The sequence below is a fragment of the Homo sapiens genome, chromosome 11 (genome assembly GCF_000001405.40).
Source record: "Homo sapiens chromosome 11, GRCh38.p14 Primary Assembly".
NCBI classification, from domain to species: domain Eukaryota; kingdom Metazoa; phylum Chordata; class Mammalia; order Primates; family Hominidae; genus Homo; species Homo sapiens.
Window position 1 is genome coordinate 118,627,228 of NC_000011.10, and position 23,656 is coordinate 118,650,883.

General features: G+C 54.3%; 1 protein-coding gene and 1 non-coding gene across 54 annotated transcripts in view, besides 4 other annotated features; both read left to right on the forward strand.

The window, feature by feature from the left end:
* The window catches only part of PHLDB1 (pleckstrin homology like domain family B member 1), a 51,593-nt gene that overhangs the window by 20,792 nt on the left and 7,145 nt on the right, over window positions 1–23,656 (forward strand). For 7 of the 53 annotated variants that reach the window (XM_047426640.1, XM_047426638.1, XM_047426639.1 and 4 more), the window contains 14 exons: window positions 78–1,423; window positions 3,980–4,252; window positions 4,686–4,826; window positions 4,932–5,069; window positions 8,166–8,321; window positions 11,664–11,774; window positions 11,935–12,024; window positions 16,573–16,713; window positions 16,845–16,947; window positions 18,129–18,423; window positions 18,508–18,598; window positions 20,703–20,849; window positions 22,850–22,966; window positions 23,218–23,320. In XM_047426640.1, coding sequence (XP_047282596.1) covers window positions 78–1,423; window positions 3,980–4,252; window positions 4,686–4,826; window positions 4,932–5,069; window positions 8,166–8,321; window positions 11,664–11,774; window positions 11,935–12,024; window positions 16,573–16,713; window positions 16,845–16,947; window positions 18,129–18,423; window positions 18,508–18,598; window positions 20,703–20,849; window positions 22,850–22,966; window positions 23,218–23,320 — 3,252 coding nt within the window. The other 46 variants (XM_011542709.3, XM_011542708.4, XM_011542703.3 and 43 more) reach the window with 26 other exon arrangements.
* Window positions 3,600–4,108: an enhancer, noted in NCBI's record as "H3K4me1 hESC enhancer chr11:118501544-118502052 (GRCh37/hg19 assembly coordinates)". NCBI's record gives its function as "activates a minimal SCP1, AML or CMV promoter by ChIP-STARR-seq in primed H9 embryonic stem cells {active_cell/tissue: H9 hESC(primed)}" and the evidence as "EXISTENCE:reporter gene assay evidence [ECO:0000049][PMID:30033119]".
* Window positions 4,109–4,616: an enhancer, noted in NCBI's record as "H3K4me1 hESC enhancer chr11:118502053-118502560 (GRCh37/hg19 assembly coordinates)". NCBI's record gives its function as "activates a minimal SCP1, AML or CMV promoter by ChIP-STARR-seq in primed H9 embryonic stem cells {active_cell/tissue: H9 hESC(primed)}" and the evidence as "EXISTENCE:reporter gene assay evidence [ECO:0000049][PMID:30033119]".
* Window positions 7,643–8,313: an enhancer, noted in NCBI's record as "H3K27ac-H3K4me1 hESC enhancer chr11:118505587-118506258 (GRCh37/hg19 assembly coordinates)". NCBI's record gives its function as "activates a minimal SCP1, AML or CMV promoter by ChIP-STARR-seq in naive H9 embryonic stem cells {active_cell/tissue: H9 hESC(naive)}" and the evidence as "EXISTENCE:reporter gene assay evidence [ECO:0000049][PMID:30033119]".
* Window positions 16,748–17,247: an enhancer, noted in NCBI's record as "H3K4me1 hESC enhancer chr11:118514693-118515192 (GRCh37/hg19 assembly coordinates)". NCBI's record gives its function as "activates a minimal SCP1, AML or CMV promoter by ChIP-STARR-seq in naive H9 embryonic stem cells {active_cell/tissue: H9 hESC(naive)}" and the evidence as "EXISTENCE:reporter gene assay evidence [ECO:0000049][PMID:30033119]".
* MIR6716 (microRNA 6716) lies at window positions 16,773–16,852 on the forward strand. The gene has a single exon (NR_106773.1). It is a non-coding gene; the product is annotated as a microRNA 6716 (primary transcript).

Here is a 23,656-nt window from a genome sequence, read left to right on the forward strand (position 1 = left end):
GGAGGAGGGGGGCTAGTGCTCTGGCTTTTATGCATATGCAGCTCCCTAAAGTCAAAGACCTTTGCATTTCCCTCCAGCAGAATCAGAAAGTCTGGTAAATGGGAACCACACCCCACAGACTGCAACACGGGGACCCTCTGCCTGTGCCAGCCACAGTTCCCTGGTGAGCTCTATTGAGAAGGACCTGCAAGAGATCATGGACTCACTGGTGCTAGAGGAGCCTGGAGCTGCTGGCAAGAAGCCTGCCGCAACCTCTCCACTGTCACCGATGGCTAATGGTGGGCGCTACCTGCTGTCTCCCCCAACCAGCCCCGGCGCCATGTCTGTGGGCTCCAGCTATGAGAACACCTCTCCAGCCTTCTCTCCACTCTCTTCACCAGCCAGCAGTGGAAGCTGTGCCAGTCACTCACCCAGTGGGCAAGAGCCAGGACCTTCTGTGCCCCCGCTGGTACCTGCCCGTTCCTCCAGCTACCATCTGGCCCTACAGCCCCCACAGTCCCGCCCAAGTGGTGCTCGCTCCGAGAGTCCTCGGCTGAGCAGGAAAGGGGGCCATGAGAGGCCTCCCAGCCCTGGCCTCCGGGGTCTGCTGACAGACAGCCCTGCAGCTACTGTCTTGGCGGAGGCCCGGAGAGCCACTGAGAGCCCCCGGCTGGGTGGGCAGCTGCCTGTGGTGGCCATCAGCCTGAGTGAATACCCAGCTTCTGGTGCTCTCAGTCAACCCACCAGCATTCCTGGCAGCCCCAAGTTTCAGCCTCCAGTCCCTGCTCCCCGAAACAAGATTGGCACACTCCAGGACCGCCCTCCCAGCCCTTTCCGTGAGCCTCCAGGCAGTGAGCGGGTGCTAACAACCAGCCCCTCACGCCAACTGGTGGGCCGAACATTTTCAGATGGGTTAGCCACCCGTACCCTGCAGCCTCCTGAGAGTCCCCGCCTGGGCCGGCGGGGCCTGGACAGTATGCGAGAACTACCCCCCTTAAGTCCATCTCTGTCCCGGCGAGCTCTCTCCCCGCTGCCCACCCGGACCACCCCAGATCCCAAGCTAAACAGGGAAGTGGCAGAGAGTCCTCGGCCCCGGCGCTGGGCAGCCCATGGGGCTTCACCAGAGGACTTCTCCCTGACGCTGGGGGCACGGGGCCGTAGGACACGGAGCCCCTCACCCACACTGGGTGAGTCTCTGGCACCCCACAAGGGCAGCTTCAGTGGCAGGCTGAGCCCAGCCTACAGTCTGGGCTCTCTTACTGGGGCTTCACCCTGCCAGAGTCCCTGTGTCCAGAGGAAGCTCTCCAGCGGGGACTTGCGGGTGCCTGTCACAAGGGAGCGGAAAAATAGCATCACAGAGATCAGTGACAATGAGGACGACCTCCTGGAGTACCACCGGCGACAGCGCCAAGAGCGGCTCCGGGAGCAGGAGATGGAGAGGCTGGTGAGCGGGTGCCAGGGAGGCTTGCCACTGTCCATGGCAGAGTCTCTGCCAGGGCTCGAGCAGGCCAGCTGGCAGAGCAGGAGAGGCCCTCAAACAGGGCTTCGGCTTCTCAAGGTTCCCCACCTCCAGGATACACTTTAGTGATCAATATCTTATGGTTCTGGTGCCGTGAAGAAGAAATTCCTTTGAAATCTCTAAGACTTTATTTTAAATTCTTGCTAATTTTGCATTTATTCAACATAGCATTTGTTTTAATGTTAAATTAAATTTCACATTGTTTACCTGAGCACAGTGAAGCTCTAGGAAAACATACCACAGGTATGGTAAGACCTCGAACCTCCCAGTTTGAGAAGCAGTTGGTGATCATGAGTAGGCTGAAGCTCAGAGAGGGGAATGGCTTTGTCCAAGGTCACACAGCAAGTTCTGGCAGAGCTAGAATTGGAACCCAGGTCCCCTGTCTGACTCTTTCTGAGACTTGTTCTTTAGAAAAGTACCTTGTCCTTCTTTTTTGCTTGTCTTTGGCCTCTACAAGTGGGTGGGAGCTGCTCATCCTGGCCCAGGCAGTATCATCTAGGAGTGCAGGTGGCAGGGTAGAGGGACAGAGCAGGATAGGCAACCCTGGCCTGACCGTTAGCCAGCCTGTGTAATTGTGACTGTGTGTGTCCATGTGCATGCACGTGGGTGCATGCAGGGGCTGGGTGTGGCTCTAGGCAGCTGTCCTGGAGATGGCATCTGAGCTGGGTGGGGGCCAGGATTCCCCAGATAGCTCAGGGAGCTTAAGGGGCTCTGGCTGGTGTGTACACAGTCGAGCCCATGTACAGAAGAATGGATTCTGCCCTCTGTCCCTTACGAGCAGAACAGGGTTCTTTGGAAGGTGGGCAGGAACCCTGGGATTGGTTTGAGGAAGAGAACCAGAACTGATGAGAACCAGAACTGAAGCATCTGGAGATGCTTTTGGAAGAGGTTGGGACAGTTTTGGATGAGGGTATAGGATTGTGTGTTTGTGTTGGATGGGGGTGAGATGAGGCGGATCCCATCTTTTCCTTTGCTGCATCTTCTCTTCACTGTTTTTGCATTGGTCTAGACGGGAATGCATGGCCATTCTAAGCTGGGGTCTCATCCTGGAGAGGGGGCAGTGAGCCTGGCACAGGCAGAGTGGCAGGCACAGCCTCCCCCAACTCCTCCATCAGTTTTCCCACCCCCATTCCCACACATAAGCACACATCTTACCACTAGTCCTGACCTGCCTCACCTGCCACTTTAAGTCTTGGAGGCTGCCCGCCCTGCCCCTCCCACCTCAACCAGGCTGCTTATCTGGGTCCTGGGGCAGGGGTGGAGGCACTGGCCCAGCCTCCCAGGTGCCGAGGCTCTGTTCCGGTTTTTTTTTTTTTTTTTTGCCATGGAACTGGGCAAGCAACAGGAGGGAAGCTGGGTAAGTGTATGAGAACACCTCTCCAGCCTTCTCTCCACTTCCTGCGGTTTGGGTTCATGGCCAAACTGTAAGTGATGAGAGACACTTGAGGAGGTCTAGGGACCCTAGAGAGCCATGGAAGCCTCACAAACCAGGCTTCAGGCCTATAGGTAGGCCTGCGGGAAAAGGCAACAAAGACCAGGAATGTGATTGTGTCATCCCTCCTTTACCTCCTAGGCCCCTGAGAGGTGACTGTATCTGGGTGGGTGTGTATGTGGAGAGGGGTGGATGAAGTGGTAGGGCCATGGGAGTACTCACTCATGGGCCTGGGCATTCAAGGACTGGCAGCAGCCCATCCTGCTGATAAACAGCCAAGGGCTGCCTGAGGGTAACTTGGAGCTGAGGTGGGGACAAAGAGGGCCGTGTCCTTGGTCTACCTCTTCTCCATGTATGTCTGTGGTTGGGTGTCTGGTCCCTGTGGGCTCATGGGTCTGTTTTCCAGCACTGTCTGTCTGCATACATGCCCACCTGTCTGTATGCTAGACTGTGTTTATCTGTGAGTGTGCATCAGTGTGCATTTGTGCATGTCAGGGCTGGTGTCTCTGTACTTGCCTATTAATGCAGGGCCAGGGCACATGTTGTATCCTTGTGTGCCTGTGCATCAGTGCTGGTGTGTCAGTATGTGTCCTTGTGTCTGTAGATCTGTGTGTACCTGCGTCAGGACGAGCAACTGAGTTTATCTGTGTCTCATTGTGGTCTGTAGTCTGCTTAACAGTGTGTTTCTGTATGTGTTTAGTGTGTTACTGTGGGTCCATTTGGTGTGTTCCTGTGTGTCCTGGGGTAGACTGAAAAAAGAAAGGAACAGGAAGATGGAAGGGGCTGTCCCAGAAGTGGGCAGGAAGAACCAGGCTGTTATGCCATGTGGGCATGTGGCACAACAGCCTCGTTCTTCCTGCCCACTTCTGGGGCACCTTGTTTCCCTCTGCCTCCCCTAGGTCTTGGGGTCAGGCCTCTCCTGACTTGACACTGATGTCCTAGCCCCCTGTAACCCTGCTCTCCCTCCTGACAGGATACTGAACCTGGCTCTATCCCCACCAGGGCTCAGCTTCCTCCCCTTCATGTCCTGCTCTGTCCATCCTCCCCAGGAACGCCAGCGCCTGGAGACCATCCTGAACCTGTGTGCCGAATACAGCCGGGCTGATGGGGGACCTGAGGCTGGGGAGCTTCCCAGCATTGGGGAGGCCACCGCAGCATTGGCACTGGCAGGCCGGAGGCCCTCACGAGGCCTTGCAGGGGCCTCTGGGCGGAGCAGCGAGGAGCCTGGCGTTGCCACCCAACGCCTATGGGAGAGTATGGAGCGCTCAGATGAGGAAAATCTCAAGGAGGAGTGCAGCAGCACTGAGAGCACCCAGCAGGAGGTGAGATGGAGGGGTAGGCAAGACAAAGAGGCTGAAGTTGGACCTGCTGGGGGCAGAGGAGGCTGGTGTATCCAATGCCAAGGTCCAGTGAGGGGAAGGATCAAGTTTGGGAAGAGATTAGAGAGCAGAGGTGCAGAAATGAGACAAGGAAGAGAAGGGAGGTGTTGATGAGCTTCCCAAGCTGTAAATATGCTTTATGACCTGCCTTTCCATGGGGCCCCACCCAGGCCTGGCACTCAGTGGTAAATATTCTCTTCCGCAGAGCCCTTATTGCTCCCCTCAAAGGTGGGGGTTGCGGGGGGGCAGGGAATTAGCCTCCTGTCTCAGTCCAGCTATTCCTCAGCAAGTGCCTGGAGGAACAGGTGATCCATTTTCTTAGTCTGATTCCAAAAGGCTCTAGGCTTCCTCAGTTGATAGCTTCCCTCCCCTCCAGCACGAAGATGCACCTAGCACCAAGCTCCAGGGAGAGGTGCTAGCCCTGGAAGAAGAGCGGGCTCAGGTGCTGGGGCACGTGGAGCAGCTCAAGGTCCGTGTGAAGGAGCTAGAGCAGCAGCTGCAGGAGTCAGCCCGAGAGGTGAGCCGTGAAGTCCCTAGCTGGACTCTTCCCTAGGCCAACTGAAGGCCCCAGAGAGGGGCCACAGTCAGCTGCTTTGATGGGGACCCTGGTGTCTGCCCCCAGGCCGAAATGGAGCGGGCACTGCTGCAGGGAGAGAGGGAGGCAGAGCGGGCACTGCTGCAGAAGGAGCAGAAGGCAGTGGATCAGCTGCAGGAGAAGCTGGTGGCCTTGGAGACAGGCATCCAGAAGGAGAGGGACAAGGTAACCCACACCTGGCCCAGCTTAGTGCTGGGTACCAGTGGCCTGGGAGAGAAGGAGAAATGTCTTCTCTGGGGCCCTGTACCCTTCACCTCATCATCCATTCTGCAGTACAAGTGGTCTCTGTGGCTTTCCAGAGACAGAGTGACTTCTCCTCCTCTGTGGAAGGAACCAGCTTGGAGGGCACTGCCAGGGGCTGGGCTGGTGTCTGGGGTCTCCTCTGTCTGGGTCTGTGTGCTACCTCTGGGTGCCTGCCATCCTAGGCCCTTTATGGCCCTTCTAGGAAGTGCCAAAGCCCCTTCTTGGGCAGTGAGCACAGCCCAAGGGACTGACATTGGGGAGTGATTCAAGTTCGGGTCCCACCATCTGGAGAACATCTCCCTCCAAGCATGCCACAAGTGCTTACGTTGTGATCTTTGGGAGATGGCCCTCGGGCCTCTGCTTCCCTTGAGCCTTCAGGATCTGCAGCCTCCCATCCCAGGTGATCCTAGCTCCTGCCCCTGCCCCTTTCAGATTTCGTGCCAGCCTGCAGGGGCCACTCCCAGATGCCCAACACCGTGCCAAAAGCTCTGAAGTGGAGAGGGGTCATCTATTTCTGGATCTGACAGTATTTTTCCAATAATTTAATTTTCCTTCTGGATTTTTTGAGTTTCTTCCTCCTGCCCTCAATTTTGAGAATCTTAAAAATTCTTTGACCCTTTTTTTTTTTTTTTGGAGCTTTGGCTCTGGCCCCCAAAACCACACTCCCAAATTCTGTGCCAAATTAACTCCACGCTTGCCAACTAGGCCTACACTAACGTCCCTTCTAATCACTGACTTGGGCTTTCCGCATGCCCCTAACTGCCAGTGCCACCCAGGTAGGGCTGAGCCATGCCCGCTTTTGCACTAACTCAGTGGGTGCCTCTGTGCCCCTGGCCTCTCTCCTCTAATGCTGCCTCCTTCTTTTCTTGGTGTGGGACCCCAGAGTTTTTATATGAAAGGAATTGGCAGGAGGATTGGTAGCTCAACTTTACTCAAGGGGGCATTGGCAGGAGGGGTATGAGGGTGGGGGAAATGCTTGGCTGTGGAGCTGCTCAGACTGAAGAGTTCTTTCCATTGGAAATGCCTAGGCTGCTGTCTTAGGCTACTGTCTGAGGACAGCATGAGATAACCCAAGGAAGCTTCCTGGCAGCTTCCTGCACAGCAGAGTAGGCTGTCTTCCACCTATTCCCCTGCCTGCCCTCTGGAGCCAAGGAGTAAGGAGGCCCAGTTGTGGGCGTGGTCTTGGAGGGCTTGAACAGGACCTCTCTGCCAACATAGTGGCTACCCTTCCTAGCTTTCCCTTGGGGCTTCCCAAATTCAGATACCCATCAGAGGTTGGTAATGGGTAGCCCCTACTCTTCTCCTCACTCCTGAGCCACCTATAACACAGGGTATTTTAAAGGCTGAGTCCAAGGATGAGGAAGCACCTAGACCCCAGGAACTGGCCTGATTAGGTCCTCCTCTCTGGGGATGGGTAGATGAGTTGGGTAGAGGGATGGGAGTGACTGGGTTCAGCATAGGGCCTCACTCCCAGGGATAAAGCTCAGCATTTCAGAAGGAACCTGCCTAACCTCATTTCCCACTGACCTGGAGTTTTTTGGAGGCCTAGACTTCGCTTTCTCTGTGGGGAAGAGAGGTTATTCGAGGCTGTGGTAGTGATGGTGGTGGTGGTGATGGTGGTAGTGATGGCAATGGTGTGGAGGGTTCACTTGGCTTCCCTCCCCTGCCCTCAGCCCATGGCTCCACTCTGGCTTTGGAATCAGTAACCACAGTTTCTCCTCTGCCTGTCCTTTGAGGGGTGACTCACCAAACCCTCCCCTCGTCCCCCTTCCCACCCTCAGAGGTGTCATCTCACCCCAGAAAGAACCGTCCACCCCCTCTGTACCCACTCCTGGGACTCATTACCATGGAAACAGCCCGAACTAATTGCAACCCTCATCCCTGAAGTTCAGCCTGCAGGGCCAACACCCCACCCCGACCCTGGGCAGGAGGGGAGGGAGGCCAAGGGTGTTGGGTTGGGGTCCCCTCTGCCACACTGCTTTAACATCCTCAGCTCCTGATTGACGCCCAACCCTGGATTTAACCCTCACCATCACTACCCTTTTTCCCTGGGTTAAATTTTGGTCTCTGGGCTGTAGTAGAAGGGGAGGGATGAGAGCTGGAGGCTCTGTGATGCAGAACCAGCCTTGACTGGTTTGGAGAGAAAACAGAGGGCCTTTTCTCGAGACCTACCCAACAATTTCAGTTCAAGGGACTTCAGGAGACCAAAATCTGTGCCCTGCCCCCACACCTCTGCCTGTGTTACCTCATCCCCTGCACCTCTGACTGCCGTGTTACCTTCAGCTCCTGGCCTTGGGCCCTCTCCCTCTTCACCTCTTTCCCTCCTCACTTTCCCTTTCTGCCCTTTTCTTTCTCCTCGCCTGGTTATTCTCCTCTTTGATTCTAGCCTTTTTTTCTCCTCTCTCAACCCCCATTGCCGACCCCCATTCTGTCCCGCCCTGGCCGCCCTCCCGCGCTCCCCTCCCGCCGCTGCCGGGCCGGAGTTGAGGAGTGTGTGTTCTGTTTCTCCCCTGTGCCCCGCCCTCTCCCTCGCCCTCCCGCCGACCAGGAGAGGGCGGAGCTGGCCGCGGGACGGAGGCACCTGGAGGCCCGCCAGGCGCTCTACGCCGAGCTCCAGACGCAGCTCGATAACTGCCCCGAGTCAGTGCGGGAACAGTTACAGGAGCAGCTGAGAAGGGTCAGTTCCACCGCCCCCCCTCCCCCGGCCCCGCGGGCCACGCCCCAGAAGGAAGAGAGGAGAGCGGTGGGACGGGACCACCTGGCCTCTGCAGTACCTGCCGGACACCAGGGTCGGTGCTGCGGTTTGGAGGGAACCGGGAAGGTTGGGGAATCAGCGCTCCAGGCCATGATGCCCGCAAAAGGGCAAGGCCAAGTACAGCGGGAGCTGGGGGGAGGCAGGTTTCTTACCCAATTTCCCCGGGTCCAGCCCCATACAACGCATGCCCCTGTGGCCTGGTCTTCCAGGCCCAGAGTGGCATTGCAAGCACCACCCAACCCCCTTTGTCACTGTCGTTGAAGGAGGCAGAGGCCCTGGAGACTGAGACAAAGCTCTTTGAGGACTTGGAGTTCCAGCAGTTGGAGCGGGAGAGCCGCGTGGAGGAGGAGCGCGAGCTGGCCGGCCAGGGGCTGCTCCGGAGCAAGGCTGAGCTGCTCCGCAGCATCGCCAAGAGGAAGGTGTGCCCCACCTCGTTCCCTGCTGCGTGCTGTTGGAGGCCAGTGACCTGGGTTTGAATCCCAATGACCTCACAAAAGTTAACTTCGTCTTTTGTGCCTGGATTTCCTTGTCTGTAAAATGAGAATTACAACAGGTTGTTGTGAGAATTAAACAAGATGTAAAGACAGAATAGGATGTGATTGTAATGAGCACTCGGTGAAGAATAACTATTATTAAGCTCTGACTCCCCTCAGTCTTCCAGTGGAAAGTGGATTCTGCTCCCATTCAGAGCTTGGCACTGGCCCAGCAGGAAGGTGAAAGATGGAGGAGGAGGAGGCTTGCCCCTGTGCTTGCAGAGCTCTTGTCTGGTGGAAGTGCTGGGACACACAGAAAGATTTGAGATCTGGATATTAGAGCCAGCTAGGGGCCCTAGAAAGGGCATTCATTTCGGTTCCAGCCATGGCTCAGCCCTGCCTTGGCTGAGCTATAAAACAAGGGTTATTGGGTATTGTGGCCTGGCCAGCTGTGACACGCTAGCTAGATACTGTGATCACCTGCTCTTGATCTCAGCCAGACCACAGGATGGTGGCACAGGTGACTGTGTATGTTTGGGGAGTAAAGCTGGGAGGAGGTATGTGTTAGTAAGGGTTGGGAAGAGGTGAGGGAGGGATTGGAGAGGATGGCTCAAGCAGCTTCCACCCTTATGGCTGAAGCTTGTGGCCATGCACATGCACACATGCATGTACATTTTGCTTGGCTGGAGTTAGTGTGGGGGAAGTGAGGGTGGTGAGATTGGGGAGGGGTGTCTAAAATTGGTGACGTAGGGGATTTGCTGGTTAGCCTGGGGTTGGTGGTAAGTGGGGAGCTGCTGGACTTTCCTTGAGTCCAGATCCCATGCTTCTCTCCCTGAGCTGCTGTCTTACAAACGCACTTTCTGGATGTAAGACTGACTGATGAAAGGAGGGAAGAAAATTGACACACCTAAGCACATGGGTGTGTGTCAGGCACCTTGCTGGGAGCCTTCCTTGGATTACCTCAATGCTGTCCTTAGGACGGTATCACAAGACAAGTGCTGTTATTCCCATTTTATAGACAAGGAAACTAGGAGTAGGAGAAGCTACACATTTTGCCCAAAGCCTCCCATTATATAAGCTTCAGAGTCAGAATTGGAACCCAGGCCTGTTGGCCCAAATCCCACGTTCCTTCGACTGTACTGCACTGAGGCTAGGGGCGGGCACTTCTCTAGCCTCTTCCTCTTTCTTTCTGGAGGGAATGCGGTAGGGAGCTGTAGATCAGCTAATCTCATCCCTTTGGGGTTCTGGTGAGTATAAGCTCCAGGGAGTTTGGGAGGGCTTGGCAGTAGTGGATTCCTCTTCCCACACCCACCCTGCCTCCTGGGAAACCGGAGCTCAGCCCCTAGGACCTGGGGTGTCACATTCTTCCCCATGCTCCTCCTTAGGAACCTTATCCAGCTTTCATCCTCAGACCCTAGTGTCCCACCCTAGGCTCTGTCTGCCCTGGTGCCCTGTGCTCCCCTGCCCTTTCCACTCTGATTCAGAGTGACTCAGAGTACTGGTCTGGGAGTCCAATAGATGATTCTAATCCGTGCTCTACCACTTAGCTGGCTAAGAGATCTTAGCTCCTAAATATGTTGGTGTTCTCACCTATAAAATGGGTATAAATGCACCTGCCTCATAAAGGAGCTTATTAAATTACGTAACAAATGCAAAACATTTAGCAGAGTTCCTGGCTCCTAATGGGTTCTTAGTAGATGGCAGCTCTTGCGGTGAGGATTACTGCCTAGCCTACTTTGTTGTTGTTGTTGATTTTGAGACAGAGTCTCGCTGTTGTCGCCCAGGCTGGGTTGCAATGGTGTGATCTCACCTCACTGCAACCTCCACCTCCCAGGTTCAAGCGATTCTCCTGCCTCAGCCTCTCAAGTAGCTGGGATTACAGGTGCCCCCCCAACCCCACACCTGGCTAATTTTTGTATTTTTGGAAGAGGTGGGATTTCACTCTGTTGGCCAGGCTGGTCTCAAACTCCTAACCTCAGGTGATCCAGCCTCCTCAGCCTCCCAAAGTGCTAAGATTACAGGCATGAGCCACAGCGCCCGGCCAGCCTACTTTGGTCTTTTCTTGGACTGACCCCAAATTTAGGACATCTCCCTTCTTTAACTCTTCCTTTCCCATGATTTGTTCCTAAAGATGGTGGTTTAAGGCCGCCTTCTTCAGGAAGCCCTCCTGGGATTAACCCAGCCCATTTTTCCCATCTCTCATCCTTCCCCCTTACTTACTATCTTTTCATTTCCTTTTAGCACATGATTGTTGAGCCAGGTACTGTTCTAAAAGCCCTATTGGGGGTATAAAGACAGAAAAGACAATGTGGATCTTACGTTTGGGGCAGGCTGGTGGTGGTGGTAACAGATATATTCACAAATAACAATAATAAAGGCAGATGGTGATACAGAAGAATGTGAGCACAGAGGAAGGAGCAAAGAAATCGGCAATCAAGGAAGGCTTTGGAGAGGAGATAGCATTTGGTCTAGTCTTAGATGATAAGTAAGCTCTTGATAGGTAGAGAAGATTGGAACAGCTCTCCTGGCCTAAGGAAGCGACATAAGAAAGGCCTGAGAGTTTACAGCTACACAGCTGAGTGTACAGTGTGGCTGAGCTGAAAGGACATGGAGGCTGTAAGAGGGAGGGGAGCTGCAAAGGGTTCGGGAGCCCCGAATGCCTGGTAAGGAGTTTGTGCTTTATCCTGTGTGTAATGAGGAGCCACTGAAAGATTTTGAGGAGAGGCATGATCTGACCTTACTTGTGGATTTTTAAAAAATTATTCAAGTAATATTCCTTTTTAGAAAGTAATTTTTCTTTTTAGAAAGATTAGAAAATTCAGATAAGCAAACAAACCTCAAAGTCATCTTAGGAAGATATTTGTGACAGTGTGGAGTGGATCAGGAAGTTGAGAGAGTGGAAGCAAAGGCTGGTGAGAAGGTCCAGACCAGGGAAGCAGAGGGCCTGGATTTGGGTGGTGGCAAGTGGGGTTGGGACAGGGAGAATGAGGCAGATGGAGTGTCTCTAGGCTTTGGGACCCATTGGTTGTAGGGTAAGGGAAGGGAGATTTGAGGATCTGAGTGGTGTGCCTAATGGCACAGGGGTCATTGGTCAAGGGAGGGAGGGAGGCCCGAGGGAAGGAGCCCACATGGCAGCCTGTTTTCTTAGGGTGAGTTGAGGCCAAGCAGAAGAGCTGGTTGATCCCCTTCACCTGAGCCTTGAGTGTCTGGGCAGGAGAGCCAGCTAGTTCTCACCTTGGGCTCAGCCCTGTCTCCCCAGGGCCTGATCAACCACCCCATCTCCTTTAGGAGCGCCTGGCCATCCTGGACAGTCAGGCTGGGCAGATCCGGGCTCAGGCCGTGCAGGAATCAGAACGCCTGGCCCGGGACAAGAATGCCTCCTTACAGCTGCTGCAAAAGGTAGGGTCCCTGAGGTTGGGCCGGGAGATTTGGAGTAGGGTAAGTGGGAGGGGAGTGCAGAAGGACTGGGGTGTAAATGTGCTGGGGTGGAGCACAGGGCCCCCCTCACACAGTCTCCTGGCTCCCACTCCTCTTTGACTCTGCCATTCTGGGCTCGCAGGAGAAGGAGAAGCTGACTGTGCTGGAAAGGAGATACCACTCACTCACAGGGGGCAGGCCTTTCCCGAAGACCACATCGACCCTCAAAGAGGTATCATGATTGGATTAGCCCCAGCTTCAGGCCCAAGGCGTGTCCTGGGAGGCTCTGAGTAACACATGGCACTTTCACCCCAGTAGCTGAGGTTGTGTGGGGGCATCTTCCTGAATGGGAGAGATTTGAGGAGGAATGGCCCCAAGCTCTGGGATTTGATTTTCCATGGCTGCCAGCTGCCTCTGTTTAGTTGCCTCTGGGGTTCCCAGGAGCCTACAGATTTCACTGTTTTTGGTGGCTGAATATATGTGGGGGGACTCAGGGGCCTGGGTTGGGTGGGTAGACAGCTCAGAGGCTTGGTAGGGGCCGGGCTGGATGGACTCACCTTGAAGGGGAGCATAGGGATATAGGGGTGCTGATCCTGGGGCTCTTGGGCTTCAGTCCTGAGTTAGGCATTTGTCTCAGAAGAGGATATTGAGGCCCCTTAAGTGGTTCTTCCCCAAGTCTGTATGTCTGGTGTGTGAATTCCAAATAGAACATATCTGGTTTACCAACTTCGTTCCCTCCCTCCCTCCCTCCCTGCCTCACTACACAAACAATTTAGGCCTGCGGTGGGGAACTGGGCCAAGTGTGAGGGATGCAGCCCCTCACCATGTCCCCTCTCTGTAGGCCGAGCTGCTCATCTCCGAGTCCTCAGAGATGGGGCTGGGGACTAAGGCTCTGGGCCTTTTCCCAGGGTCTTCTCAGGCTGGGGCCTCCTCTGTCTCTTTAACCCCACCTGCTTCCACTCTTCTCTGCCCCAAAGCACAAGAGGTAATCACAGCTAACTGCGTGCTCTGCTTTGCCCACTGCCTGTCTGCCTGCCCGCTGAGCCCCTGCCTACAGCTCCTCCCAGGGCTTAGCTGAAGGGCATGTGGTGATAGTTTCTTGGCTGGCCAGAGTTTGGGAGAGTGTGTGCGAGCATGCCATGCCGCCATTCCATAGAGTGCCTGTGCAGCCCATTGAATTGCATATTTATTTGCCATGCAGAATATAATTCTGCATGCCATTCATTAGTTCTCACAACATGCTGGACCCTCTGACTGACTTTCCTTTTCCATGACCCCAGAGGACAACCTGGTTCTAGAGCTAGGCCTGGATGGGCCCCTTGGGTAGAGCAGGCTTATGATCCTGCGCTTTGATTCAGCATGCATTGTGGAGGTCTACCATGCTCCCAGCACCCAGATAAGCTCAGTTTCTAAGGACAGGTGATGAATACGACAGTCCCTATCCTCCCGACCCACAGTTGAATGTGTTGGCATCTTTCCAAGGACTCACCTTGGGCAGTGGGCCCATTTTTCTGCTAGGCTTTTAGCTGTTCTTGCTAAGGCCTCTTTCTCACAGCCCATCTTGCTCAGGCCCTGGTGATGTCTCCACCTTCCCCCACCTGTTTCTAGCTCCTGTCCAGGCTGATGGGGTGTGAGGGGACCCTGGGGAATGGTGTGACTGGTGCTCAATGCTGCATGTGTGTGCCCCACTGGGGACTGCCAGGTTGTTGGGGACGGGGAGGGGGTCTCTGGAAGCTGGGTTCTGATCCTCAGTGAACTCTTAGAAGGCCTTCTGTGGGCTTCTTTGCCTGCCCCCAGCCCAGGGCGAATTCAGGCATGGGCCTTCAGGGTCTGCTTGGGGCAGGACTGGATGCCAAAGTGGCTCTTTAAGAGTGGAGGGCAGGAGGAGCCTTCAGACAGTTGGTTCTGCTGCCCTTTTCTGGTCTCTGTCACTCCCTGCAGCCATCTATGGGCATAGCAGGCACCCTACCCCTGCCTTGGATTTTGTATTGACATGGAGTGATGGCCCTGTGGCCTGGCATGGAGTTTGGGGTGTTGGGCACCTTATTGAACCCTGTTAACCCCTTCTTTGCCCACCCCTACCCCTTCTACTGGGCACCCCAGGAATATGTGACCCTGGCAGAAGTTTTCCAGCTGTGTTCCCGCTTGGACCCCTATGCTTCTGCCACTTCCCCCAGTGTGCTCGCCCAGCCCCTGCCTGACAGTGAGGTACCAGCCACCGAGGGTGCCCACCAATGCCCAAGGACCTCTTTATGGATGGCCTAGATTCCCCCTTGGGCCTGGGTGGAGCTAGGGGGACAGAAGGGTCTGTGTTCGACAGTGAGGGAGAAGGGCAGCCTGCATAAGGGGAGGTTGGGAGTGGTTTCTTTTTTTCCCTGGGGCCTTGGGAGCTTTCTTTAGCTCCTATGGCCTGGGGAGGGGCACGCCTTCTGCTCTAGGATGAGGGTGTCGAGTTGAGAGGACTCTGGCTTTCCTAGGCTGCAGGCTCTGTACTTTCTGCCCTTTCCCTCCCTTCCCCTGTGGGTAGGGCCATCTCATGTGTTCTGGTTCCATTAACCTCTTATATTCCCTCCTGCGTCTGGCCTTGCTCCAAGTACGTGATGCTTGAGCAGCTAAAGGTGATGCGGGGCACCTCGCCCATGCCCCCAGCCCCTGTGCCAGGCCTTTCTCCCTGGGCCTCCGCCTCCCGGGACCTGGTTCCCACCACCTGCCTTCCTCCCATGCTGCCCTCCTCCTCGTTCGCTTCCATCACGCCTTCACCTAAGGTTGGTGGTTTGTGAGTTCTTGCTACCCCCACCCATGACTGGTGTGCTCTGTGTGTGTTTTGCTCCTGCTCACCTGGCCTCTTGGCTCTGGGCCAGCCCAAGGGGAGTGCCCAGTGCCTGCAGGCTCTGTCTGGTGGCTGGTTTCATGGCTGGTGTAGCACATGTCTGTGGTCTGGAAGTTGTACCCTGACTGTTTCTCTTTGCCCTTAGTACATTCAGGGCAACTGTTGTCTCACTGTTTTTCTCTTCTTTTTCTTGATGCTCTCCTTTCTCCCTTCCTTCCTCCCCTTCTTCCTTCACCTTCCTGTCCATTTCCCTGATGTGGCCTTCCTTTTTAACCTTCCCCTTCCTTCTTCCTCTTCTTTCTTCTTTCTCCCTTCTCCTGCCTTTTCCTTTCCCTTTATTTCCTGGCCTTTCCTCTCCATCCTCCCCTCCTGTCCCCTTTTCCCCTCCCCATTCCCACCTCCAGATGGAGAAGCTGCTGCTCCCTGCTGTAGACTTAGAGCAGTGGTACCAGGAGCTGATGGCCGGGCTGGGGACTGGCCCCGCTGCAGCCTCCCCTCACTCTTCTCCCCCGCCTCTGCCCGCCAAAGCTTCCCGTCAGCTGCAGGTAACCCCTCCTTCACTGCCCGTCCTCCCCAGCCTTTGCACCTGTCCACTCTGATACCTCCTGCCAATCCATCAGCCACACAGTACCACCTTGAGTGGAGGCGTCAGCCCAGTCAGGGCAATGAGGGCACCTCTGGGCCCTGAGAGGGTCACTCCTTGGGCAGCCATCCTGGCATGTGGGCAACCGGGGGGCCAGCCTCCATAGTCTAAAACTATCTGATTGAGTGTCTGGTGGAAGAGGATTCTGGAGCTGTGGTCAGTTTGGGATCTGTTTGGTGCCCTGTGCTGAGCTAGGCTGTGGGTCTGGCCTATGCTTGGCAGCCCCCAACACCTGGAGCTTCTCACCCAGTCTGGGGGCCTGACAGGCTCTTGGGCCTGTGGCAACTGGAACTAGTGTGTCCTGGGAAGAACTGCCAGTATTTTGTTCTCCTGGTCTCTCCAGCAGTGACACTTGGAAGCAGAAAACAAAGGGCAAAGACTCTGAAGTGACAGCCTAAGCCTCCTCAGAGTTGCCATGGAGGGCGTGGGCCTACCTGAACCTGCAGCAAGCAACTGACCATGGGGTGGGAAAGGGGGCTGGGCTAGTCTTCTCCTCAGGTTTCCTCCACTGACCAGCTGCAGTGCCTAAGATTGACCATTTAAGATCACCCCTTGAGTGAAGGCACTGCATCTGTAAGACTGTGACCTCAGCTAAAATTTCATGTTTCCTTGGGGAGGAGTTTGATCATGTAAGACTTCTACTGTGTACCCAGCTGGTTAGAGATTTTAACGTGTTTTGATTCTCTGATCATCATCATAGGCCTTTGAGGTAGATGAAGTTAACTCATTTTATAGATGAAACACTGGGGCCTAGAGAAGATAAGTAATCTCTCCAAGGCCACACAGCTAGGAAGTAGCAGAGCTTATGCCACGTCAGGGTTTGTGACACTAAAGGCCATATTCACCACATGCTAGTGCTGCAGGGGAGCTTGGCCATTATTTAGTCTAGTCCTACCCCCTTCTTTTGCAGATAAGGAAGCCAAGGCCCAGAGTAGGGAGGTGTGTGGCCCAAGGTCACACAGCCTGTTAGTGGCAGAGCTAGGACCAGAGGGAACCCAGCTTCTAGTTGGTCTCCTGCACAACTGCCTGACTGACATTAAATCCTTGCATGGGTCTGTTTACAGGTCTTTTCTTAGACCCAGGGTTGGGCTAGGGATTGGCCCAGGGAGGAACAGCCTGGAAAGGAGAATTGGCAGCTGCCAATAGCATCTGGCCATTGGGCTGGCTCAGGAGGCTTGTTGTCAGAGCCAGAAGGCCTCAGAGGCCTAGTGCCAGGGCGGTACGTCAGATCACAGCAGACTAGGTGACATGGGGGAGGTGGCCAATGGGGGAGCCAGGAATCACTGGGCACTATCTTTTCTTTCCAGGTTTACCGCTCCAAGATGGATGGCGAGGCCACCAGCCCCCTTCCCCGGACCCGCAGCGGCCCCCTCCCCTCCTCCTCTGGCTCTTCCTCCTCCTCCTCCCAGCTCAGCGTGGCTACCCTGGGGCGTAGCCCCTCCCCAAAGGTCTGAGGACAGTGGGTGGGGCTGCACATGTGGCTGGGGATGGAGACTTCCACCCTGGGGAGAGGCCAAGACCTTGGGAATGGGGGTAAGGGCCTTCTGAGCCCAGGTCCGAACTCTCCATTCCTCTGCAGAGCGCTCTACTCACCCAGAATGGCACGGGCAGCCTTCCTCGCAACCTGGCAGCCACACTGCAGGACATCGAGACCAAGCGCCAACTAGCTCTGCAGCAGAAGGGTGAGTGACTGCCCCGCCAGCCCACCTGCTCTCCTGAGGGGACCCTGGGTAGTTGCCATGCCTCCTCTATGCTCACACCTTTCACAGGATGTTTTTCCTTTAATTGGGATCTAGGCAAGACCAGAAAGGATTTAGAGTGGGTACCTAAAGAAGAGCTTCCTGGATATTTATCTAAAGCCTTCAGGGCAGGAGACTAAGGGCTTAGGGGGCTGTGACATCTTTCCTAGAGAGCCTAGCCAATAAGGGAACTGCTTGTTGACCTGAGTCGGGTTAGACATTGCCCTCTCTGGAGGGAGGGGATGGATTTGATGACTTCTAGAAATGGTTGCCTGAGATATTGGCTCTGGGGACCCAGGAGTCCTTGTTGCTTGTGTGCAATTTGGTTGTTTTGAAAGCCCATGTCTGTGCCTCTCTCTCCTCTTACCCCCTCTGTGTCTCTACCGTACCCTCTGCCTGGGGTCCCCCACGCCAGTCGAGTCGCTTCCCGCCGAGCCCCTCCCAACCGACGACCCAGCAGGTAGAACGTTGGTCATAGAGGGCATTGCTTTGGCCAGGCAGCCCCTGCCCTGGCATCAGCATGATGTGTCCTGCCCAGGTCCCCACTGCCTGCAGGCAGGGTCCCAGGCTGAGCTGGGTTGGGGTGTCTGCTGGCCTCACCCCTCCAGCTGGCCTCTCTTCTGCCCTCATCTGTGCTCTACCGTGTCTCCCCTGCCTTCTTTCTTGCGTTTGTTGCTTTTGCTTCTGCATTGCAGGGGGGTCTGCATTGGCAGTCTGGGTGCTCATGGGGTTTCTGCCATCTCTTCCTTCTCCCTTCTCCAGCAGGCAGGGTGGGTGCATGTATCCTGCCTAGACCTACTTAGGCCTTGGTTGTGAGCTGGAGCCAACTGGCTGTCGTGCTGCCCCAGCACTACTTGGGTAGGTTTGGTGTCCTATATGGACTCAGGGTGCGAAAGAGCACTGAAGCCAGACTGTGCATCTGTGGCCGGTTGTGCAGGCGACTGAAGCATTGGCAGAGCAGCCAGGCCTGGAGCTGCAGGGGCCTTAGGGAAGCTGCGGGGAGAGGGGGCTGCTCTGTGTTAACCTCTCCCTGCTTGCCCCTCCCTCTGTGTGTTGTGCTGCCAGTGGCCTGCTCCTTAGCTGCGTGGGGAGCCCACTGTGACTCCCATCTGTCTCTCCTTCAGGACAACAAGTGATTGAAGAGCAGCGGCGGCGACTGGCTGAGCTGAAGCAGAAAGCGGCAGCTGAGGCACAGTGCCAGTGGGATGCCCTTCACGGGGCAGCACCCTTCCCAGCGGGCCCCTCGGGCTTCCCCCCTCTCATGCACCACTCTATCCTACACCACCTGCCTGCGGGGCGGGAGCGTGGGGAGGAGGGTGAGCACGCCTATGATACGCTGAGTCTGGAGAGCTCTGACAGCATGGAGACCAGCATCTCCACCGGGGGCAACTCGGCCTGCTCCCCTGACAACATGTCCAGGTACACCCGACGCCTGGGCCCGCAGCCTCCCTCAGCCACCGCCTCAGCTCCTTGATGCACTTCCTCTTCCCCTTCTCTCCCCAGCGCGAGTGGTCTGGACATGGGGAAGATCGAGGAGATGGAGAAGATGCTGAAAGAGGCTCATGCAGAGAAGAACCGGCTCATGGAGTCGAGGGTGAGTCTGACCTGGATCGGGGAGGCAGAAGGTGTTGGGGCACAGAGCTACCTACTGCATGTCAAGGGCCTGTGCTCCACCCCAAGCCCTTCCACCCACATTAGCCTTGCCACATTCCCTTGGGGTAGAAAATGTTTTAAAAGGTTGTATTCTGGCCGGGCGCGGTGGCTCATGCCCGTAATCCCAGCACTTCAGGTGGCCGAGGCAGGCGGATCACGAGGTCAGGAGATCGAAACCATCCTGGCTAACACGGTGAAACCCCGTCTCTACTGAAAATACAAAAAATTAGCTGGGCGTGGTGGCAGGCGCCTGTAGTCCCAGCTGCGCGGGAGGCTGAGGCAGGAGAATGGCGTGAACCCGGGAGGCGGAGGTTGCAGTAAGCCGAGATCGCACCACTGCACTCCAGCCTGGGAGACAGAGCGAGACTCCGTCTCAAAAAAAAAAAAAAAAAAAAAAAAAAAGGTTGTATTCCTCAAACAGGCTTAGGGAGGCTTGGTTTGATTACAACTTCATAGCTCTTAGGAACAGAGAAGGCAGCATAGTAACCATTCTCTAACCAATAATTTCCTGTATGGAAACTTCCAGTTTTTGCATGTTTACTTCTGTAGACTTTTTGGCAACTACAGGAATTTTGATTCCTGTCTACCCGTATGGCAGGCCATTCCTCTTGGGGCTGATTAGGAAAAGCAGGAACTATGAGTGAAGTATAGACCAGAAGAGGAGGCAGATGTCCAAGTCAGTGTAGAGGTGTTGGCAGGGGAACCTTGGGAGCAGAGAGGGCTGACAGCTCCTTCACTTGGGCACGGAGCTGGGATTCAGCAAAGAGGGACCCATGGTTTATCCTGGGCATAGGCAGGCTGATGAAATGTGTGCCTAGGAAGGAGGATAAATAAAGGATCTGCAGAAGCTGTTCTGTGTCCACCATTGGAGGCACTCTGCATATTTGAGATGAGAGTGGGACGCAGAGAGTAAGGTCAGCAGTTTGAGGGATTTAATAAAAAACAGATACTGACAGTCTGAATGGAGGACCAGCCAGAAAAGAATGCCTCCTATCTTATTTATGTCTGAATATGGCAAATGTATAAGCATCTCCTGGCAAATGTGGGGAAAGGAGATTCTGCTAAGTTTTGAGCTGGGAAGAAATAGTAAATGGGAGTTAATGGTATAGGAGGTCTTTATTAGTAATTAAGACATATAAAGCATCACTGACATGCTCTGTATTTAATTATTTGTTTTAATGACTTCTAAAATCCTTTTATAGTGGCTTTTATAAGTTCAGTTCTGACCTTAGTCTCTAGTCACTTTTTTCCCATAAAGTTTGAAGTTCAATAGCAAATGTTTCTAATTTGAAGTTTCAGAAGGCCTTCAGTTAGTGATTGGGAAAGGACTATATATTAGCTGTCAAAAAAAGTTGTCTAGATAACCCATGTTGCGAGGATTCAGATACAATTGTAAGAGCCCCATTTATTTTTTGAGTGCTTTCCAACTGGAATCAGTGATGGGCATTTATCTACATGATCTAATTTCATTTTCACTATAATTCCAGGAATGGGCATTCTTAACTTCATTTCACAGATGAGGCAACTGAGGCTTAAAAAGTTTAAATGGCTGGGTGCGATGACTCACGCCTGTAATTCCAGCACTTTGGGAGGCCGAGGCAGGCGGATCGCCTGAGGTCAGGAGTTCAAGACTAGCCTGGCCAACCTGGTGAAACCCTGTCTACTAAAAATACAAAAAAGTTAGCTGGGCATGGTGGCAGGCACCTGTAATCCCAGCTACTTGGGAGGCTGAGGCAGGAGAATCACTTGAACCTGGGAGGCGAAGGTTGCAGTGAGCGAGATAAAAAAAAAAGTTTAAATGATTTTATCAGGATCACAGAGCCCATAGTGGTAGCGGGGCCAGGGTTTGAAGTCAGGACAGTCATGCTTAAAGCATTTCTCTTTAACCAGCCAGGGCTCTTGGAGAGGGTGGGCTTTGAAGATGATGCCTCCTCATGCCAGACTACCCTGAGGTGGATTCCTCCTGCAGCCCTGCCCAGGTGTGAAGAGGGCCAGTGGGGGGAAGAGGATGGCCATAGGTGCTGACCCCTTGGCTTTGGGGGCAGGAGCGGGAGATGGAGCTGCGGCGGCAGGCCCTGGAGGAGGAGCGGCGGAGGCGTGAGCAGGTAGAACGGAGGCTGCAGAGTGAGAGTGCCCGGAGGCAGCAGCTGGTCGAGAAGGAGGTCAAGATGCGGGAGAAACAATTTTCCCAGGTGAATGGGCAGTGGGGCACAGTGGTGGTTGGTTTGACGGTGAGGGCTGTAGAGAAGTGGGGAGATCCCAGGGTTTCTGTGTTGGGCTGTAAAACCTGTTCTACTCCAGAAAAGATTGCTGTTGGCTTAATACTAGCAGAATTCTACCTGGGACTCATTGACCCCAAAACAGACCCACCAGGACTATTCAAGTTGTGTGTGTGTGTGTGTGTGTGTGTGTGTGTGTGTGTGTGTGTGTGTGTGTGTGTTTGTGTGCTGGGGTAGTGGGTTGTAAGGATGTGGCAGGCCACCTTGCAGACATCCGGGGTCAGAGAAGAGGGTCTGGACAGGCATCCCAGAGATGGGAGCTGGTAGTCAAGAATCAGAGTGGCTCCCCTTGGCCTCTCTCCAGGGCCTCAGATCCGCTTCATGAGCCTGCGCTGCACCTTCCCGTCTGCTTCCCCTGCTGCCCCTCCTGCATGTGGAACTTCAGGGTGTGCTGGCCCACACCCCACAGGACCTTTCAGCTCCAGTCCCCACCATCAGTGGATGACCTCACTCTGACTTTTGGTTTACATCTCCAAGACAGAATTGTACTAGTTTCTCTTCGGGACAGAAATCCTTCCTTGCCCAAAAGCCAGCCCTACCCTTTCTCCTTAAACAGGAGACTTGAGCAGAACAATTGAAAGCAGAAGGAGAAATTGGTTTGGGCTGGGAAATCTGCCCATGTCTCTGGTCCCAAATCCTAACTCCCACAACCCCCCATGAGAATCTGTAGGACTTAGATAGCCTGTCCCTTCTGATTAGTAGGCTTCCCCAGGTTGGGAGTCCCCTGGAATCTTTCCCAAGCAGTGATCACAGTTCCCTCATTTCCTACAGTGCAACAAAATAAATCCTAAGGGATAGGTCATCTGGATTGGGTTTGGGAAATAATGAGAAGGGGCTGGGCACAGTGGCTCACGTCTGTAATCCCAGCACTTTGGGAGGCCGAGGTACACAGATCACTTGAGTCCAGGAGTTCAGAGACCAGCCTGGCCAACATGGCAAAACCCCATCTCTACAAAAAATACAAAAATTAGCTGGGCGTGGTTTCACACACCTGTAATCCTAGCTTACTCTGATGGCTGAGGCATGAGAATCGCTTGAATCCAGGAGGTGGAGGTTGCAGTGAGCCGAGATCATGCCACTGCACTCCAGTCTGGATGATGGAGTGAAATTCTGTCTCAGGAAAAAAAAAAAAGAAAAAAGAAGCTCTGTGAATTTTACCCCCGTGGTTGGAATATTTGTAAAATGCTTGGCTTCCCTTTCCTGCTTCAGTCAGTGACTGTTCTGGGAGTCTCTCTTCTAGCCCCTGTCCTGGGGCTCAGGCATTGCTGCAGTGGCCACTGGTGTCTGGTGTGGGAGATGGGTAGAATCAGCTATCTGTGGGGTCGTGTGTTTTGTTTTTTTCTTTAAATAATATATGATGTTTCCTGGCCATTTTAATGTTCTTCTGGGACAGGAAGAGTAGAAAAATATTCCGGTTGACTGAGAATTCTAGTTAGTATCAGAGGTAGAGTAGACCTTAGTAATTATCTAGTTCAAAGCCGGCGTTTTACATGGAAGGAAACTGAGGCCCAGAGAAGGGATGTGACCCAAACAAGGTCCCATGCGAAGTCAGAAACTAGATTTCTTATTGGGCTTTTCTTCCCAGACCACGTTCATATCTGGCCTCTTGCTGTATTCTCTTTGGCTCAGGAGGGAAAGGAGGGGCAGGGCAAGACAAAGATGCCGTGTCTTGGTCATAGGTGGGAAAACTGAGGCACAGAGTGACTTCGCAGTTTGCCCGGCCCTAGGTAGAGTCAACATAGGCATGGTAGGTCTCCACTTTTGCCATAAGCCCTGTGGAGCCACAGTGACCGCCATGGGTTAGGGAGGTGTGATGTCAGGCTGTTGGGGTTTAGAAGTGAAGCCAAGGGGCCTGGACAGGGGAATAATGAGGGAAGAGAGGAGACTCTCCTGACCCTCCCTCTTGCTCCCAGGCACGACCCCTGACCCGCTACCTGCCAATCCGGAAGGAGGACTTTGACCTGAAGACACATATTGAGTCATCGGGCCATGGTGTTGATACCTGCCTGCACGTGGTGCTCAGCAGCAAGGTACAAGGCGTGTGTGGCCCTGGGGTGCTGGGGAGAGGGAGAATCCCGTGGTGAGAGGCACCTCCTGGGTCGTTGGAATAGTGGCGTCAGTCTCTACCCTCACCTAACCAGATCTCTGTCCCAGGACCTGGTGTGCTGGCCTGAGGAGATGTTGGGGACAATCCCCCATGAATACAGGCACAGGCGATGGCACACACTTAAGGCTTAAGGGCTGCATATTTGGGTCCTTCCTTACTCCTGCTTCCTACCAGGTCTGCCGTGGCTACTTGGTCAAGATGGGCGGCAAGATTAAATCATGGAAGAAGCGCTGGTTTGTCTTCGACCGGCTCAAGCGCACCCTTTCCTATTATGTGGGTGAGTTCCCACAAGGCCACCCTGGGGGCCAGCCAGGATCCCTGGGCTCTGTTACCCAGGACGGCTGGTCTTCTAGAAGGAGGCCAAGCTTCCAAGTAGGGGACCAGAGTCTTGGGCTAGGCTTTGCCCTCCTTCCCTGAAAATGTACACAATGTACCTGGTTCACCTCCATTTTTGTGTTCATTCATTCATTCCTTCATTCAGCAATGTTACTAAGCATCTAGTAAGTTCTAGGCACTGTTCTAGGCTCTGGTGATGAGTAAGATGGCCACAGCGCTCTCATGGAGCTTATAATCAGGGAAGCAGACAAGAGTGATAACCACGCACAATGGGTAT